The sequence below is a fragment of the Homo sapiens genome, chromosome 6 (assembly GCF_000001405.40).
Source record: "Homo sapiens chromosome 6, GRCh38.p14 Primary Assembly".
NCBI classification, from domain to species: Eukaryota; Metazoa; Chordata; class Mammalia; order Primates; family Hominidae; genus Homo; species Homo sapiens.
The window spans coordinates 28,977,475-28,994,631 of NC_000006.12; the positions used below are offsets into that span (position 1 = coordinate 28,977,475).

Genomic DNA, 17,157 nt, shown 5'->3' on the forward strand with positions numbered 1-17,157 from the left:
GCCGGACGCGGTGGCGCGCGCCTGTAATCCCAGCTCCCCGGGAGGCTGAGGTCGGCGGATCGTGGGTGCTCGGGGGTTCGGAGCTACGGCGCTGTGTGGAGCGGGCGTCCGCACCGGGCCTGGCACCAACATGGTACTCCCGGGGGAGCCCGGGAGTACCAGGTTGTCTAAGGAGGGGGGGACCAGGCCCAGGCCGGACACGGAGCAGGTCAAACTCCCCGTGTTGGGCGACGGTGGGACCGCGCCTGCGAGCAACGCCTGCAGTTCCGCCCGGGACATCCGACGAGACCCGGTCTCTTTTAACTTCCCTTTTCGGGATTTCTTTTAAAAAATCAACAGCATTATTTCTGCATACCAAGTGAGTTCACTGGTGGGACTGGTATATGCTACCCTTTGCTCGATCTTCCTTTTTTTTTTTTTTACCCCTCAGGGAATGATGATTCATTCAGTCAGTGGGAGCCGGAAGAAACTCGTTAGTGACTTATCATCTTGGAAATTTCTCCATGTTGCACTCTTCCTTTCCCCAAACAACAAGACAGTAGTCTGTTTTGCATTTTGCAAATGCAGTTGCATAAGAATTTAACAAAGACTATTCGCTTGGCCAAACTTTAGTCAGGCTTCTGAATCTTCTGCTAGGCCCATCTGTGCACTTCCTTGTAACGTCCAGTTTTAGCAAAGAACCCTGCCAAGTCAGTTTAGCAAGAACCCCCATATCATCTATGTTTAACCTCCATTTCTGATCAGGCTCCTCATTCTCCACCATCCCCCAGATGATTGATGTCTGATTACCTTGGCCTGTCTTCAGCAAGAATCCTGTTAGGTTTGTTTGGCCAGAATTCCCCTTACCTCTGAGGTTTTCTCTTGGTAATTTCCTGTCCACTGACCAGGACACACTGCTCCTTGGCTATAAATTCCCATTTGCCCATGCTATATTCAGAACTGAGGCCGATCTCTTTCCCTCACTGCAAAACCTCCTTGCAATGGTCCCTTGTGCCTATCCCGATAGTCCTGAATAGTCTTCCTTACATTGCTTTCAGAAGTATCACTAAATAATTTTTTTAAAAAACAAATTGCATGGCATGAGAACTTCATAATCTAAGACAGAGATTTGGAAAAGGTTTGAACTTCCAGCTTTTTCAGGAACTTCCCACATAAAAACCTGTACACAACTATTCTTATCGGATTGGATAAAACACCTAAAGAGACATTTCACCGAAGAAGATATACAGATGGCAAACGAGCACATAAAAATGTTTTCAACATCCTTAGCACTAGGGAAATACAAATTACGACCAAGATGAGATATCACTATACATCTATCAGAATGACTAAAATAAAAATAGTGGCAACAACCAAATGCTGATGAGGCTGTATACATGTAGGTGGGAATGTGAAATGTAGCTGTTCTGGAAAACAGTTGGCAGTTTCTTAAAAAGCTAAATGTGCAAGTACCATACCACCCGGCAGCTGCACTCCTGGACATTTATCTTGGCTAAACGAAAATTTATATTAACACTAAAACCAGTATGCAAATGTTTATGGTAGCTTTATTTGTAAAAGTCAAAAGCTGAAAATGACTCAAATGTCTTTCAGCAGGTGAATGTTCAAACTGGTAAATTCATACCACAGAATGCTAGTGAGCGAGAAATAAGAATGAACTACTGATGCTGAACAACCTAGATGAATCTCTAGAGAATTACACTGAGTGCAAAAAGCCAATCCTAATAGGTTACATAATGTATGATTCCATTTTCATAACATTCTCGAAATGATGAAATCATAAAAGTGAAAAACAGATTACTAGTTGCCAGAGGTTGAGGCAGGAACAGTAGGCAAGTGGGTGTGGCTGTAAAAGGGCCAAAAGGAATCCTTGTGGTGATGGAAATGTTTTGCATCTTGACTTTATCAATATCAATATCAATATCCGGATTGTGATTTTGTGCTATAGTTTTGCAAGATGTTACCATTGGGGGCAAGCAGGTAAAGGGGACATGGGACCTCTCCATATTATTTCTTATAACTGCATGTGAATCTACGACTACCTAAAAATTAAACATTTAATTTAAAAAAAGACCAAAGTCATTAAAATTGGAGGGATAGGGAGCTGAAAGGGAAGAGCAAGAGAGTATGGAGAAAAATAATGGAGAGTCAAGTTGATACAGGAGATACAAAGAAATTGCTTAGGTAGTTAGGGCAAAAGAGTCCTCGGCAGAACTTCTCTTCTAACAAAAAGCAGCCCTAGAAATTATTCCTTTTCTAACAAAGAGCAGCCTGCAAGATGGAGCTGCAGACATAGATAAGGAAGCTGGAAACTTGCATGGGGGAAGGCTGGCAGCTGCACCGATAGAAAAGGTCTACCTGGGGGTGAGGCATGTCCACCATGAGGCTCCACCTTCCCTTTTTTGTTAGCATGTGTACAGTAAGAAAGAAATGGGCAACATGGAGAAGTTCAGGCAGAGAACCCACCTGCATAATAACAGATTGGGGTGAGGGTTGCCAGAGATTCACACCCTATGCAGTTGGCACACCTGGTCCTATCTGGGTTTTTCATGCCTTATGTAGATCAGACACCATCTCCCCACTAGCTCATCTGTAAAACCCCCTGCATTTCACCGAATTTCGGCAACCCATTTTTCCAGGACCCCTCTCTGTAGCAGAGAGATATTTTCTTTCTTTCGCCTATTAAATTTCCACTCTTAACCTCTCTGTGTGTCCAGGTCCTTGATCTCTGTGGCTGTGAGACGATGAATCTAGGGTGTCACCCCAGACAACGAGGCTGCTTCAAAATCCCAAAGTCCAAAGGAGGACTGCTTCATAAGGGAAGGATTGTTTATAGGTTGGTATACTGTGCAAAATTAAGTATAGGACCAAAAACAGCCAAGACATTTGAAAGTTGGAAAGTTGATGGTAATGGTTTCCTGGGATTGGAAGGCAGACCTCCTCCGCTGATGAGCAAATAATGAGGTAAACATTGTTCTTTCAACAGGTTTGGTGCTGAGTGGAAGGAAAGAGTCTGAGGATAATGCATAAGGTCATGTGTTCCATTTTTGTTGTCCAAAGATAGAGGTTTAGACATTCTGTAATTTGAAGAGAGGCACGTAAGGAGGAGAGAGATGAAAGACACAAACATAGAGCAAAATGGAATGGGTAGAGGGTTCAAAAGCTCAGATGGAATATTAAGTAGACTTGGAAATGAGAGACCATTCCTCCGAGTAGGAAGACAGGGGTTGAATATGCCAAGAGCTAGCAAATTAGGAGGTTAGGAAAAAGGTGGCTGAGGGAATATGCTGGCTGTCTCCCTTTCACAGCGCAGCAGCCACCCCTCCCCTCCCCCACCTCTAGCAAGTAGCCACTTTTTCAACAGCTTAGGCGGCTCCTTTTTCCAGGAAACTTCCCTTCAGTTCACCGGCCGTGCCTCTCTCTATCCTTTTCCTCGGAGCAGGCTGTGCTATGATCAAGGCATTGTGACCCCTGTGACCCACACGTACACATCCAGAAGGTCTCCTGGAGCCAGAAAGTCTGGGACAACAGGAAAACCACAAAAGAAGAAAAACAGCTCCTGTCTTAGCTGATTAGCCAACCTTGCGACCTTCTACCATTGTAACATGCTCTACCCTAACTGATCAATCAACTTCGTGACACTGTGCTCTGTGACCCCTCCCACCTTGTGATAATGTACCTTGTGACATTCTTCCCTTGCCCGCAATAAACGGGCCCTTATTGTATCTTTCCACTGCTTACTCCTAACCTATAAAACTAGCTGCAATCCCACCACCCTCCGGTGGTGGGACTCCCTTTTCGGACTCAGCCCGCTCGGACCAGAGTGAATAAACAGCTTGTTGCTCACACTTAGCCTGTTCAGGTTGTCTCTTCAGTTAGACGCGCGCATAACACTAACAATTCACTTAATAAATATTTATTGAGGGAACAGAGGTCGCAAATAAAATGTAATTAGTATTGCTCAAGATTAAACTTCTTTCAGCACGTTTGCCTTTTCTTCTTTTATCTAGTGAGATGTTGAAACCCATACCTAGAGTTCTGCTACAGAAATAAACGTATCCCACAGTGTTCTTGCGATTTCCTTTATGAATTTGAGAAAAATATGACCCCATTTTAGGTTCTAAGGAGTGTTTCTGTATTGTAGAAGGAAAATTCCATATTTGTATTGCCGTGGGCACAAAAAACCGAGCGCTCTCATGCCGAAACCCGGGATCGAACCAGGGACCTTTAGATCTTCAGTCTAACGCTCTCCCAACTGAGCTATTTCGGCTCCGCCCACGCCACTTAAAAATAAGGCTTAATGAATTTATTACTTATGTTTTTTATTTACTATTAGGTATTTATTAAAAAAAAAACCCACAATGACAGGTACTCCGAAGGAACCAAAGACAAATTAAAAAATTATTTCGTTCTTCAAATGGCTCACCACTTTATGCAAAGAAAAGCAAGAAGACAATTACAAATTGATGCTACAATTTATTCTCGGTTGAATGCACACATCGAAACAGAGCACGTTCCATCATCCAGTTACGAACTTCCCAAATTACTCTTATGGCATTGCCACGCCCTCTGCCGTCCAGATTTTATTGGTTGGTGCAAAACAGGAGGTCAGTGAATACGAGAGCATGACCGTGCACTAACTCGTCGGAAAAGTAGAAGTCAACTGTGTGCGTATGTGTTGAGTTCTCGCTTCATAAATATGTTTTAATAAACCTACTTCAGCTTCCCTGGTGGTCTAGTGGTTAGGATTCGGCGCTCTCACCGCCGCGGCCCGGGTTCGATTCCCGGTCAGGGAATGAGGTTTTTCTGTTTTAACCTCCAAATTCTTTCATCCAGGAACGAAATCTCTGAGTAAACAGCAAATTGTGGATAAGTTAACTTTCAATTTTCATAGGAGGCATTTTCTGCATAGAAACCCTGTTCCTGTTTTAGTATTCCAGGTACAAAATGACAAGCAATGTAATTTTCAATTATTTTAAAACATTTATTAATGAATACTTAATCTAGCGTAGACCGAGTGTCCGGCATTGTTCTAAGTAAGCGCTTTAACATTTTTAACTCAATTGGGTGATTCAGTAAGCGGGAAATTCCGGAGACAATCCATTAGGAGTTAGTTGAGATTAGCATAACCTTTTGAAAAGACAGTTATGAAGATGACAGAGAAGAAATGGCGAAGTCATTTCTGGGAGATTTGATCGCTGTGTTCAAGCTTCTGAAGCTGCTAGAGCCTCGGTGGTTTAGACACCTACTCTATCTTCCTCGGATTTCTCTGTAAGTTTCACGCTGCTCCAACTGGGCGCTAGGGGATAGCCCTAGAAATACCTACACAGTAATTTAATATTCTGGGCCAAAGCAGTTTCAGGACTGCTTCATCTCTCCAGCGCTTCAACCTTTTTTCCCCTATGAAGGTACAAATTATGTTTTTTTCCTAAGAGAGGATAGGAGAAGGTCATAAACATGAAATTAAAACCTGCTGTCACAAAACTGAGAAACAGGCAAACAATGAATTCAGCACCATCTCTGAATGCACATTTGGTAAATTTACCGAGAGCTACTGGAGAAAAAGCAGACTTTTTGTTTCTCTCCTGACAAGGTTTGGTGACCCTGTGCTAACTGGTTCCTGTCTGACAATATCGGGGCATGAATCTTTGTTTCTTGGTCTGTCTAAAGAGCAGCTATTGCTTATTATTTCTTTCTTATATCTGCTAAGAGTTTGGGGCACGTATGACTTCTCTACAAGTTTCCAAACAAAGATCGTGGTGCTCCTGATCTTATTTCACCAACAAATGGAATATGTGATTTTTTGTTTGTTTTTTGAAATGGAGTCTCTCTTTGTCGCCCAGGCTGGAGTGCAGTGGCCCGATCTCAGCTCACTGCAACCTCCGTTTCCCGGGTTCAAACAATTCTCCTGTCTCGGCCTCCCGAGTAGCTGGGATTAAAGGCACGTGCCACCACTCCAGGTTAATTTTTGTATTTTTAGTAGAGACGCGGTTTCACCATGTTGGCCAGGCTGGTCTCGAACTCCTGATCTCAAGAGACCCACCCGCCTCAGCCTCCCGAAGTGCTGGGATTACAGGCGTGAGCCACCGCTTCCAGCCAGGATGTGATGTTGTTATGATCCAGTTAAATGAAGCAGGACTTTTTCTAATTAATTGCACTTTCTCTTCTCTTCCCTGGCTCCATATATTCACAGTTTCCAAAACTTCCTTGAGATGGGACACTCTTTTGTCATCTTGTCAGTTCTGTCCTTGAATTAATAAACTTTGACACATACATAAGATCAATTTGACTAAGAAATCTTATTTTGACATAGACATAAAAGTAATATGGTTTGTAAAATTCCTGTATATACGGAAGCCTTTTAATCTAATGTTTCATAGGAATTCAACCCTCTAGGCCTGCTGGTGATCAGTTCTTGAAAAGCACCCTCTTTTCGTGATATCACACGTTGTCTCCTCTATGTGCAGCAAGAATCTCTTGCTTCATTAGTTTTTATGCCTCTGCTTTCAGAAAACAGTCTGGTTGGGACCCCTGTGAAAGGAACTGTCTGGCTTAACTTATCTTGATTAATGCCTCTTTTTTTCTTTTCTTTTCTTTTCTTTCATTTTCCACATAAAGCTAATTGGATTAGAGAAAAAGAACTCTTCTTCGAATGCTACCAGTTTCTTTCCTTCTCATCTGAGCTATTATTCATTGTCCATAGGAAAAAAAATTCCCTAATTTTGGCACGGTAGGTTCTGTTTATTCACCAGACTTGCTACCGTTTACTCGTCAGCTCAGAGAGAACGTCGAAAAAATATAACAAAACCAAAATATGCATCAAGACAAGAGGAGGAAAGAGAATGTGAAAGACTACTAAAAAAAAAAAAAAAAAAAAAAAAAGTCAACAGCTAGGGTCAAGGAATCAATCTGCAAATATTCAGAGCCAGTAGGCTTGTACTACACTAGTCACTATGGAAAATGAAAAATGACCAAGACAGAAATCTCACCTCTTAACACCCCCCAAATCCCAATTTTCTCAACTGTAAAATGGGAATAAAAGTATTACAGTATTTACTATATAAAGTTGCGATGAGTCAATAACATAATACACAAAAGCAGTCAGCCAATTATCCAAATCCGTGTTATTAATATTATCATCATCATCATTCTTCTCACCGTACTTGGGGAATGAAGGAGACAGATACTGTGAGTAAGTTTTCCTTTTTTTTTTTTTTTTTTTTTTTTTTAGACAGAGTCTCGCTCTGTCGCCCAGGCTGGAGTGGAGTGGCGCCATCTCGGCTCACTGCAAGCTCTGCATCCTGGGTTCACGCCATTCTCCTGTTTCAGCCTCCAGGTAGCTGGGCCTACCGGCGCCCGCCACCACGCCCGGCTAATTTTTTGTATTTTTAGTAGAGACGGGGTTTCACCGTGTTAGCCAGGATGGTCTCGATCTCCTGACCTGGTGATCCGCCCGCCTCGGCCTCCCAAAGTGCTGAGATTACAGGCGTGAGCTACCGCGCCCCGCCAAGTGAGTAAATTTTCTATTGGGCACAGAGTTACCTGCTAAAATGAAGTGTGGAAAAATACAATGGGGTGTGTGTATGTGAGAGAGAGAGGGAGATTTGGAGGTGGGGTGGGGAAGACCCTATTTGAAGTGGGCTTTGAAGAATGAACAAGATTTTTATTAGGGAACAAAATGGAAACCAGCATTCCAGGACAAGCGTCTCAGGAGAAGCAAAAGCGCAGAGTTGTGAAAGCTCTTAGATTTTCAGAACTTTGAATTCTGAACTATATATAAACCTGGAAAATCTCGGTTAACTATGGGATGGCATCAAGATTTCAATTTCAAGCTTTCTGGTCATGCACAGTAAAGCTGGAATTAGAGTCTCTTACGTATGGCAGTTGTTGACAAGTCCGTACAGGTACCTAAGTGCTTCCCAGAAAATTCCTCAAGTTGGTAGGTCCTGGGGGAATCAGTTTAGTTCTAAAGAGAGGACTCATCAGAGATCTGTTCAACTTCCAGGAATCTGTGAGGATAGCTCCAAATCTCACTCTCATGCCCAGCCTATCAAACAAAGCAAACCGGTTGGACTGAAGCTGTGGGATCGGGACTGAAATAGAACCAGCGAGAAAGGCAGTCCTCCTCGATTCCTAGAGAGAACACATTCAGCCAGCAGTTGGATAGAGGATACTAGCAAGTCCCTCGCCAGGGCGGGGGAGCAGAGACACATTCCTGTCCCGTTTACATTCTTCCTCTGGCGGAGGCGGGAGGGTCGCTTGAAGCCTCGGATTTCGAGATCAGCCAGGACAAAAAAGCGAGACCCCCGTTTCTACCAAAAAGGGGGGGGGGTGGGCGGGGGGAAGAGAGAGAGAGAGAGAAAGGAAAAGAAAGAGAAAGAAAAGAAAGAAAAACTAGGCGCGGTCACGTGTACGTGTAGTTCCAGCTGCTCGGAGGTTGAGGCGGGAGGATCTCTTGAGCCCAGAAGTTCGAGGCCGCAATGAGCTCTGATCGTGGCAGAGCGAGGCCCTGGCTCAAATACATACATACTTTGTTCTGACTTTGTGTGCCCTTACTCTTTCCTCAGGTGCACGCTTGGGCTCGTTACTGCTCAGAATTTTAGAATCACAGATCCAGCAGTGATCAGGCAGCTGCAGCTGTCAGGGACCACCACCACCTACGCGATTGATCCGTGGGAGAAGCCGTCCTACTCTTTTCTTTCTCCTTTGTCCTTCTCATTCCTGACCCCTTCAGGATTCTCAGTCTTCCCTCCGGGAGGTAGGGATTCTACGGAGAGAGAAGGGTTGTGGGGCTTGTTCTGTTGCGGGTTCAAACCCAAATTGTCTTTTTCTTTTCAGACTTTTGGCCAGTCTTGTCTCGCTCCAACCTCCTACCCCCACCCCATTCCTCAGTGCATTCGTGAATTTCTCCAAGCAGGCCTTTCCAGATCGACACTAAGTTCCAATCCCGAGCTGTGTGACCCAGCACCAATTCAGTCACGATGATGACTTGCAATTGCTTAATCAGTTGGCCTTTCCTCCTAGCTGTGAAGGTGAGGACCGCCGGTGTCAGCGTTCGTCCTGAATACTCAGTGCCCAGGCACAGAGTAGGCATTCAGTCAATACTTGTTGAACGGGTTAATGGATTCCTGATGTTCACTGGTTGATATCGTCACTTTCAAATAATTTCTCCCATTTTTCTGTTTTGTTTTCACCCTCCTAGTTTACCGTGCAGGATTGCAAACACCAGAGAGAAAATCAGTCTCTGGAATGATGCCTTTGATGGACCAAGATGCAGCTGATGAAGCATTGAACCAATTAGCACCTAGCAGGAGGGCACCCTTGCTCTGTGTCCTTGAAGGTTAAAGCTGTCAAAAAGTGGTCTCCCTCAAGTTCGGCCATCTTGCTCTCAGAGATCTAGAACTGGTAGGAGAATATAGCCTTGATAGTGGAGAGGAAACTATTGCTGTTGTGAGGGACTGAGAGAACCAGGCAGAGAGCCCAGATTGACACAGCAGGTGACAAAAGAGGCGCGCCTACCTTGGGGAATACGGAGGAACAGAGGAAAGTGAGACCAGGAGAAAGAGCAGGGGGGCGGGTGTGCAGGCCGGGCGCCGTGGCTCACGCCTGTAATCCCAGCACTTTGGGAGGCCAAGGCAGGCGGATCACAAGGTCAGGAGTTCGAGACCAGCCTGGCCAATATGGTGAAACCCTGTCTCTACTAAAAATACAAAAATTAGCTGGGCGTGGTGGCGAATGCCTGTAGTCCCAGCTACTCGGAAGGCTGAGGCAGGAGAATCGCTTGAACCCGGAACCCGGGAGGCAGAGGTTGCAGTGAGCCGAGATGGCGCCATTGCACTCTAGCCTGGGCGACGGACTGAGACTTCGTCTCAAAAAAGGGAGTGACTGTGTTGCTTTTGCTTTCTTGGAAATCTTTTTTCTTAGTAATTTTCCTAAAGTAATTTCCTTAGGAAATAATGTATTGCTAAGAGTATTGCAACTTTTAGTATTGACGAGGTACTTTTACTGAATCAGTATAAGTCAACAAGCAACCACCAGAAGCTGGAAAAGGCCAGGATAGGATTTTACTCTAAAGTTTCTAGAGGGAGCTGGACGCAGCCCACACCTTGATTTTGGCCCACATACTGATTGTGGATTTCTGGCCTTCAGAAATACATATCTGTTGTAAGAGAATACATATCTGTTGTTTTTAGACAGTTTCTGATAATTTGTTACAGTAACCACAGGAAATTAACACCAGGCACTATGCAGTAAATTCCGTATGAACAACTCAAATATAAGAATTTGTAAGACAGCCGGGCGCGGTGGCTCACGCCTGTAATCCCAGCACTTTGGGAGGCGCGGTGGCTCACGCCTGTAATCCCAGCACTTTGGGAGGCGCGGTGGCTCACGCCTGTAATCCCAGCACTTTGGGAGGCCGAGGCGGGCGGATCACCTGAGGTCGGGAGTTCCAGACCAGCCTGACCAACATGGAGAAACCCCCATCTCTACTAAAAATACAAAATTAGCCGGGCTTGGTAGCGCATGCCTGTGATCCCAGCTACTCGGGAGGCTGAGGCGGGAGAATTGCTTGAACCTGGGAGGCGGAGGTTGCGGTGAGTCGAGATCGCGATATTGGACTCTAGCCAACTCCATCTCCAAAAAAAAAAAAAAAAAAGAATTCTAAGACAGCATAGTTTCCACTGGCATATTGGATAAAAACTTCCGTCAGCAGTGATTTTAATGAAGATGAATGACAAAACAATAAGAAACTCCAGCGCTAGTTAACTTTCTTTATTATGATCTTATTTGTCATAATTTTTTGCACAATGCGTTTTTATTTTAGGACTCAGTCAAAATTTTGGGCCAAGGAGACCGACGCGCTGTCGCCTGCACTAAGAGAAACGCAACGAACAACTTTGTCAATGCATTGCATTATACTATAGCAGCAACTATACTTTTAAATGATTCGAATCTTGAGGTTTCAAACTGAACCGTCTTGTGCCTTTTGCCCGGCGGGCATTTCTGCGGGGACCGCGGGTCACCTTCTGAATTTTTACCTTCATAAACAGCAAGGACTGCGCTCTTTCGCACGGCGCCCCGTTTTTTCGTAGAGTTCCGTCGGCCAAAACCACTTGAAACTCGCTCAGCGGCGTCGGGGCTCCAGCCAGGCGTCACCTTCCACAGCGAACCTGCGAACCACAGCGTCCCCTGGGGGTCTCCGTCCGCGTGGCCGCTTCCTCTTACATCGGTGACGCAAGGGAAGGGCGTCTAGGATCCGCCGGTTTCCTTCCTCACTGCTCCCATCAGTGCGAAAGCAACGTGTTGGGGGTTCGGGGTGTGTGGCGGCTGAACAGCTGCCTGAAGTTCTCTGATGGCGCTGGAGGGAGCTCCAGAGAAGAGGTCATGGGGAGAAGGCACACCTTAAACGCCCCGGGGTGGGGGGGGGGGGCGACATTCCCTAATGGGAAAAAAGACACACCTTAAACGCAGTAGAGGGCGACATTCTCTACTAGGGAAAATGCGGAAGAACACAGTTGTAATCAACGGTAGCGTGGCCGAGCGGTCTAAGGCGCTGGATTAAGGCTCCAGTCTCTTCGGGGGCGTGGGTTCAAATCCCACCGCTGCCAAGTACTTTTCATTCTCACTAGGGACTGTTTTTAGGAGAATCCCTTTCCAAATGTTCAGTATGAATGGTTCTTACGTATCAATCCCATTCTCCTCTTCGACTTCTGTTTACCACGGAGCCAGAGATAACCGTCCCCAGAACAATGTTCCCCCATTATTTAGAGGACAGTGTACTCCAGGCGCCTCAGATACAGCAATGAGTGACACAAGCAAAAAAACCCTTAATGGCACATACTTAGTGAGGTGGCACGATCTCGGCTCACTGTAACCTCCGCCTCCCCGGTTCAAGCCATTCTCCTGCCTCAGTCTCCCGAGTGGCTGGGATTACAGGTGCGCGCCACCACGCCCTGGCTAATTTTTGTATTTTTAGTAGAGACGGGGTTTCGCCATGTTGGTCAGGCTGGTCTCGAACTCCTGGCCTCAAGTGATCCTCCCTCCTCGGCCTCCCACAGTGCTGGGATTACAGGCGTGGGCCACCGCACGCAGCCTGAAGGATTAATTTATGTTTGGAATCAGCTGCTGTTCTTCCTCCAGCCTCTCTGTAGTGTGCTCACTTCACACTTGGAACCATAGTTATATGGTATAGAGAAGAGACAACTCTAGGGAAAGTGCCAGTGCCTTGCCTTACCTTACAACTGCCAGACACACCCAGTCAGGTACCTTCTCTGTGGGCTTCTCAGTACCCCGTATCTCTGTGGTTGCCGGGGGAGCCCTATCTCTCCTCGGAGCAGTTCTCTCTGCATACTTCTGGTCTGTCTCTCATTCTCTAGACCTCAGCTTGGAAGTTGTTTCTCCTTGGAAGCCTTCCCTCATCTCCTTCTCTTCCTCTTTCCAGCTTCATAAAGTTTGGGAGGGTATGGAGAGGATAAGGAAGGGAACAGCACAGAACGTCCTTGCCCCACGGAACTCAGAGTTTAGTGGGGTTCTCATGGGGGTTCACAAGGATTAGATAAGTTATTGCCCTAATATGGGGCAAACTCTACTAAAAAGGAGATAGCTTTCTATGTGTAGATTTTGAATGATGTTCCAGATTTAAGAGAATAAAAAGAAAATAATATGAATTGTATGTTAGAAAGAAGGACTGTCACAGAATTGTTCCCAACTGGGATTACAGGTGCAGGCCACTAGGTCCGGCTAATTTTTGTATTTTTAGTAGAGAGGGGCGTTTTGCCATGTTGGCCAGGCTGGTCTCAAACTCCTGACCTCAAGTGATCCTCCCACCTGGGACTCCCCAAGTGCTGGGATTACAGGTGTGAGCCACCACGCCTGACCACCTTTATTGATTTTTGAATGCTAATCCAACTTCTCCATGCTAGAATAATCTTAACTTGTTCAAGACATGTAATCTTTTAAAAAATGTATATTCCTGGATTCAGTTTGTTACTATCTCAAGATTTTTCTCACTACATTCATGAATGATAATAGCCTGTAATTTTCTTTTTTAAAAAATTTCCTTGTGTTGTTTGTTTTTCCTCATCGTTCCCTAATGGTTTGGTATTAAGGTTATACAGGCCTCATAAAATGAGTTTAACATTGGGATTATTTTCCCTTGCATGTTTAGTAGAATTAACTGGTGAAAACATCTGACCCTTGAGTTTTCTTTCTGGGAATATATATTATAGGTTCTATTTAAATAATTGGTATCAGACTATTCAGATCTTATATTTTTTTCCTGTACTAGTTTTAGAAACAAGAGTCTTCCTAAGGAAATATACCAGATGAACCTGGAAAATCTTTTCACCAGAAAGCAAGGAGGCTACTGAAGACTACTTTAGTCATGTTAAACAAAAAAGGCTTGTGCTGACACCTATGAAGTAGTCTTACCCAAATCAAATCTAAATATAGAATTTGATAAAGCCCTTAGATCTAACTATTAATTTTTAGGACATGCAGGGGCAGAGGAATGTGTTAAATACTACCAAAGGTGTGCAATAATTAAAATCCAAACTGTGAAACTCTGCAGCACCAGCAACCTAGTTAATCATTAAATAAATTTCAAGAAAAAAGAGATATAGGGAGAACTTATATATTAAAATACTTAAGATACATACCAACTAATCACAATGTATTGACCTTATTTGAATACTTTTTTTTTTTTTTTTCTGAGACAGTGTCTCACTCTGTCACCCAGGCTGGAGTGTGGTGGCACAATCACGGCTCACTGCAGCTTTGACCTCCCAAGCTCGTCTCCCGAGTAGCTGGGACCACAGTCATGCACCACCATGCCTGGCTAATTTTTGAATTTTTTGTAGAGACAGGGTCTTGCTATGTTGCCCAGGCTGGTCTTGAACTCCTGAGCCCAAGTGATCTTCTTGCCTTGGCCTCCCAAAGTACTGGGATTACAGGTGTGAGCCATGGTGCCTGGCTTGGTTTTTTTTAATGTTAAGAAAAAATGGCATTAGAGAAAAATTTGAACAGCGAATGAATCTTTGATGATGTTGCCAAATAGATAATTTTGTTTAGGTGTGATAACTGTACTAGTGTTAGTTTACTTATATTTTTGGTTTGTTTTTTAGAGATGGGGTCTTGCAATATTGCCCAAGCTAACCTCAAACTTTAGGGCTCAAGGAGTCCTCCCACTTCAGCCTCTTAAGTAGCTGGGACTACAGCATAGGCCGTCGTGCCCCTGGCTCTATTATTAGTTTGTTAGTTAGTTTGTTTGTTTGTTTATTTATTTATTTATTTATTTTGAGACTGAGTCTTGCTCTGTCGCCCAGGCTGGAGTGCAGTGGCGCGATCTCGGCTCACTGCAACCTCTACCTCCCGGGTTCAAGCAATTCTCCTGCCTCAGCCTCCCGAGTAGCTGGGATTACAGGCGCCTGCCACCACGCCTGGCTAATTTTTGTATTTTTAGTACAGGCGGGGTTTCACCATGTTGGCCAGGCTGGTCTTGAACTCCTGACCTCAGGCAATCCATCCACCTCAGCCTCCCAAAAGTGCTGGAATTACAGGTGTGAGCCACCGTGCCCGGCCCATATTGTTAGTTTTTTTAAACAGTCATTATCTCCTATAGACAATTAAATACTTATGGATGAAACACAATTTCTGTCATTTGCTTGAAAATAATCTTAAGCAGAGGGAATGGGTGGGGATACAGATGAAACAAGATTAACCCTGACGTAATAATTGTTGAAGCTGAATGATGTGTACATGGAGTTCATTTTTCTATTGCCTTAACTCTTGCATGGGTTTGAAATGTTCTATAATAAACTTTATTTTTTATTTATTTATTTTTTTGAGATGGAGTTTCGCTCTTATTGCCCAGGCTGGAGTGCAATGGCACAATCTCGGCTCACCACAACCTCTGCCTCCCGGGTTCAAGCGATTCTCCTGCCTCAGACTCTGAGTAGCTGGGATTACGGGCAAGCGCCACCATGCCTGGCTAATTTTTGCATTTTTAGTAGAGACAGGGTTTCTCCATATTGGTCAGGCTGGTCTTGAACTCCTGACCTCAGATGATCTGCCCACCTCAGCCTCCCAAAGTGCTGGGATTACAGGCAGGAGCCACTGCGCCCGGCCAATACATTTTTTTTAATAGAGGAGGACTATAAAACCTATGGGAAGCTCTGATGGCACGACTATGACTTGCTGATGTTCACTACAGGTTATCTGGCTAGGCCACTTGCTGAGAAACTCCTGATGTATCTTCAAGTCTATTCTGGTTGGATTTCTCACTGAAAACTGCGTCTTTTGTCTGGGAGGTGAAAGCCAGACCCTCATCTTTCTGGGAGATAAGGAAAGTAGGCTGGAGGCGTTGACATTCAGTATGCTCCTTTTTCAAATGGAATTCCTGTCCTCCATGTGTCTAGCCCACATATCCTTTGTTTAACCTTCTTCAGAAAATAAACCTCCAGTCTTCTTTGGGCTTGAGGACCTAGGACTCTGCTTGCTTCCTAAATAGCCTCTGACAGACTCTCCTCGTTTTAGTCTATTCATTCTCATTTCCAGGGGTACATGGTGCCACCAATTCTTGAGTCGCTTAAAGATTCTATGATGTAAAATAAATGTCTTTTTTTTTTTCTTTTCTTTTTTAGAAGGAGTCTCACTCTGTTGCCCAGACTGGAGTGCAGTGGTGCAATCTCGGCTAACTGCCACTTCCGCCTCCCACTCCCCAGTAGCTGGGACTACAGGCACGCACCACCAAGCCCAGCCAATTTTTCTATTTTTAATAAAGAGACAGGGTTTCACCATGTTGGCCAGGCTGGTCTCAAATTGCTGATCCCAAGTGATCTGCCCATCTCAGCCACCCAAAGTGCTGGGATTACACGTGTCAACCACGGTGCCCGGTCAGATTTGTCCTTTACTTGCCCCCTTCAGGCTAAAATTTAGCTTTCTCAAATTCAATGTCATTATTACTTATCCTTTTTTCAGTTTCCAAAATTTTGTAGTTGCCTCTTCTGCCATTCTTCCTGATTATGAATGGTTTTACTGTAGCATTAGTGTAGTTCTGAGGGGGAGCAATACCAAATACACGTAGTCAAGCTACAATCCTTACCAAGAAGTATCTTATCATCTTTCTTAAACTTAAATGAAATTGGCATTCTCCATTTCTTTTGTGAAGGTAAAAATAATCTCATATCAGTGTTCTGGTAAAAATTTTGTGTTTGCACGTGGAATGTAATTCGATTTAAAAAGTGAGTTTTACCTGGTGATTTTTGTATGTAAATTATAACTTAGACTAACTCTTGTTTGGTAACTCTTCAGAATTAGAACTACAGATATCTTAGGGTTTCAAGCAACATGTTTTGTCATTCAACTATGCACCTGACCTTCGAATTCCTTCAGTATTATTCTTACCAAACTTATTACCTTATGGCAGAATCTGTTCCAGTTGAGTATCTCCTAAATGTACAGATGTCCTGTAGCTTCTACTTGTGGATTGTAATTCTATTCTGGGATAGTTGCAGAACAAGATTAACCCACTGTTCATAAAGTAGTCCTTCAGAATTTTCAAGACATATCTTTTTCACCAGGTAAAAATCTAAAATTTATTCAAATACGCTCTCAAAATATTCATTTTATGTGTTTAGGAAACATCAAAAGACTTCTGGAGGTCAGACTAGTAATTTCTTTTTTTTTTTTTTTTTTTTGAGATGGAGTCTTGCTGTGTTGCCCAGGCTGGAGTGCAGTGACACGATCTTGGCTCACTGCAACCTCTGCCTCCAGGGTAGCTGGGACTACAGGCGTGCACCACCATGCCTGGCTAATTTTTGTATTTTTAGTAGAGACAGGGTTTCACCATATTGGCCATGCTGGTCTCGAACTCCTGACCTCGTGATCCTCCCTCCTCAGCCTCCCAAAGTGCTGGGATTACAGGCATGAACCCCCGTGCCTGACTCTTATCTGTGATTTCTAAACCTGTTCTCTCCCTGCCTCCCTTTTCACTTTGAATCTTAGCAATCCTGATACAATATGGAGAAGTACCATTCTAGCTTTATGTTAAAAAAATTGCTAAAAATGATTGGTGTTTATAAATTACAAACTGTTTTCTGCTGAACTGAGGTATAACTTCATGTCGGAAAGATGTGGTGCACGCATATGGGAATTGCC

General features: G+C 44.2%; 1 long non-coding RNA gene, 3 other non-coding genes and 1 pseudogene across 5 annotated transcripts, besides 2 other annotated features; 4 read left to right on the plus strand and 1 right to left on the minus strand.

Annotated features, from left to right (window-relative positions):
- RN7SL471P (RNA, 7SL, cytoplasmic 471, pseudogene) lies at positions 1 to 299 on the plus strand (annotated as a pseudogene).
- Positions 3,157 to 3,979: a transcriptional cis regulatory region, noted in NCBI's record as "candidate enhancer chr6.1412 targeted for multiplex CRISPR interference". NCBI's record gives its function as "positively regulates TRIM27 gene expression with high confidence in K562 cells {active_cell/tissue: K562}" and the evidence as "EXISTENCE:mutant phenotype evidence [ECO:0000015][PMID:30612741]".
- On the minus strand, positions 4,198 to 4,270 carry TRF-GAA1-2 (tRNA-Phe (anticodon GAA) 1-2). Its single transcript has one exon. It is a non-coding gene; the product is annotated as a tRNA-Phe (tRNA).
- A 454-nt stretch (positions 4,271 to 4,724) lies between these two features.
- TRE-CTC1-6 (tRNA-Glu (anticodon CTC) 1-6) lies at positions 4,725 to 4,796 on the plus strand. Its single transcript has one exon. It is a non-coding gene; the product is annotated as a tRNA-Glu (tRNA).
- A 2,478-nt stretch (positions 4,797 to 7,274) lies between these two features.
- On the plus strand, positions 7,275 to 11,093 carry HCG15 (HLA complex group 15). 2 transcript variants are annotated; one of them, NR_145490.1, is made up of 5 exons: positions 8,374 to 8,410; positions 8,568 to 8,758; positions 8,839 to 9,032; positions 9,203 to 9,405; positions 10,826 to 11,093. It is a non-coding gene; the product is annotated as an HLA complex group 15 (long non-coding RNA). The 2 variants fall into 2 exon arrangements; NR_135289.2 differs by lacking the exons at positions 8,374 to 8,410; positions 8,568 to 8,758; positions 8,839 to 9,032 and adding an exon at positions 7,275 to 7,510.
- Positions 11,094 to 11,527: 434 nt separating this feature from the next.
- Positions 11,528 to 11,609, plus strand: TRL-AAG3-1 (tRNA-Leu (anticodon AAG) 3-1). Its single transcript has one exon. It is a non-coding gene; the product is annotated as a tRNA-Leu (tRNA).
- Positions 15,127 to 15,438: a transcriptional cis regulatory region, noted in NCBI's record as "candidate enhancer chr6.1416 targeted for multiplex CRISPR interference". NCBI's record gives its function as "positively regulates ZKSCAN8 gene expression with high confidence in K562 cells {active_cell/tissue: K562}" and the evidence as "EXISTENCE:mutant phenotype evidence [ECO:0000015][PMID:30612741]".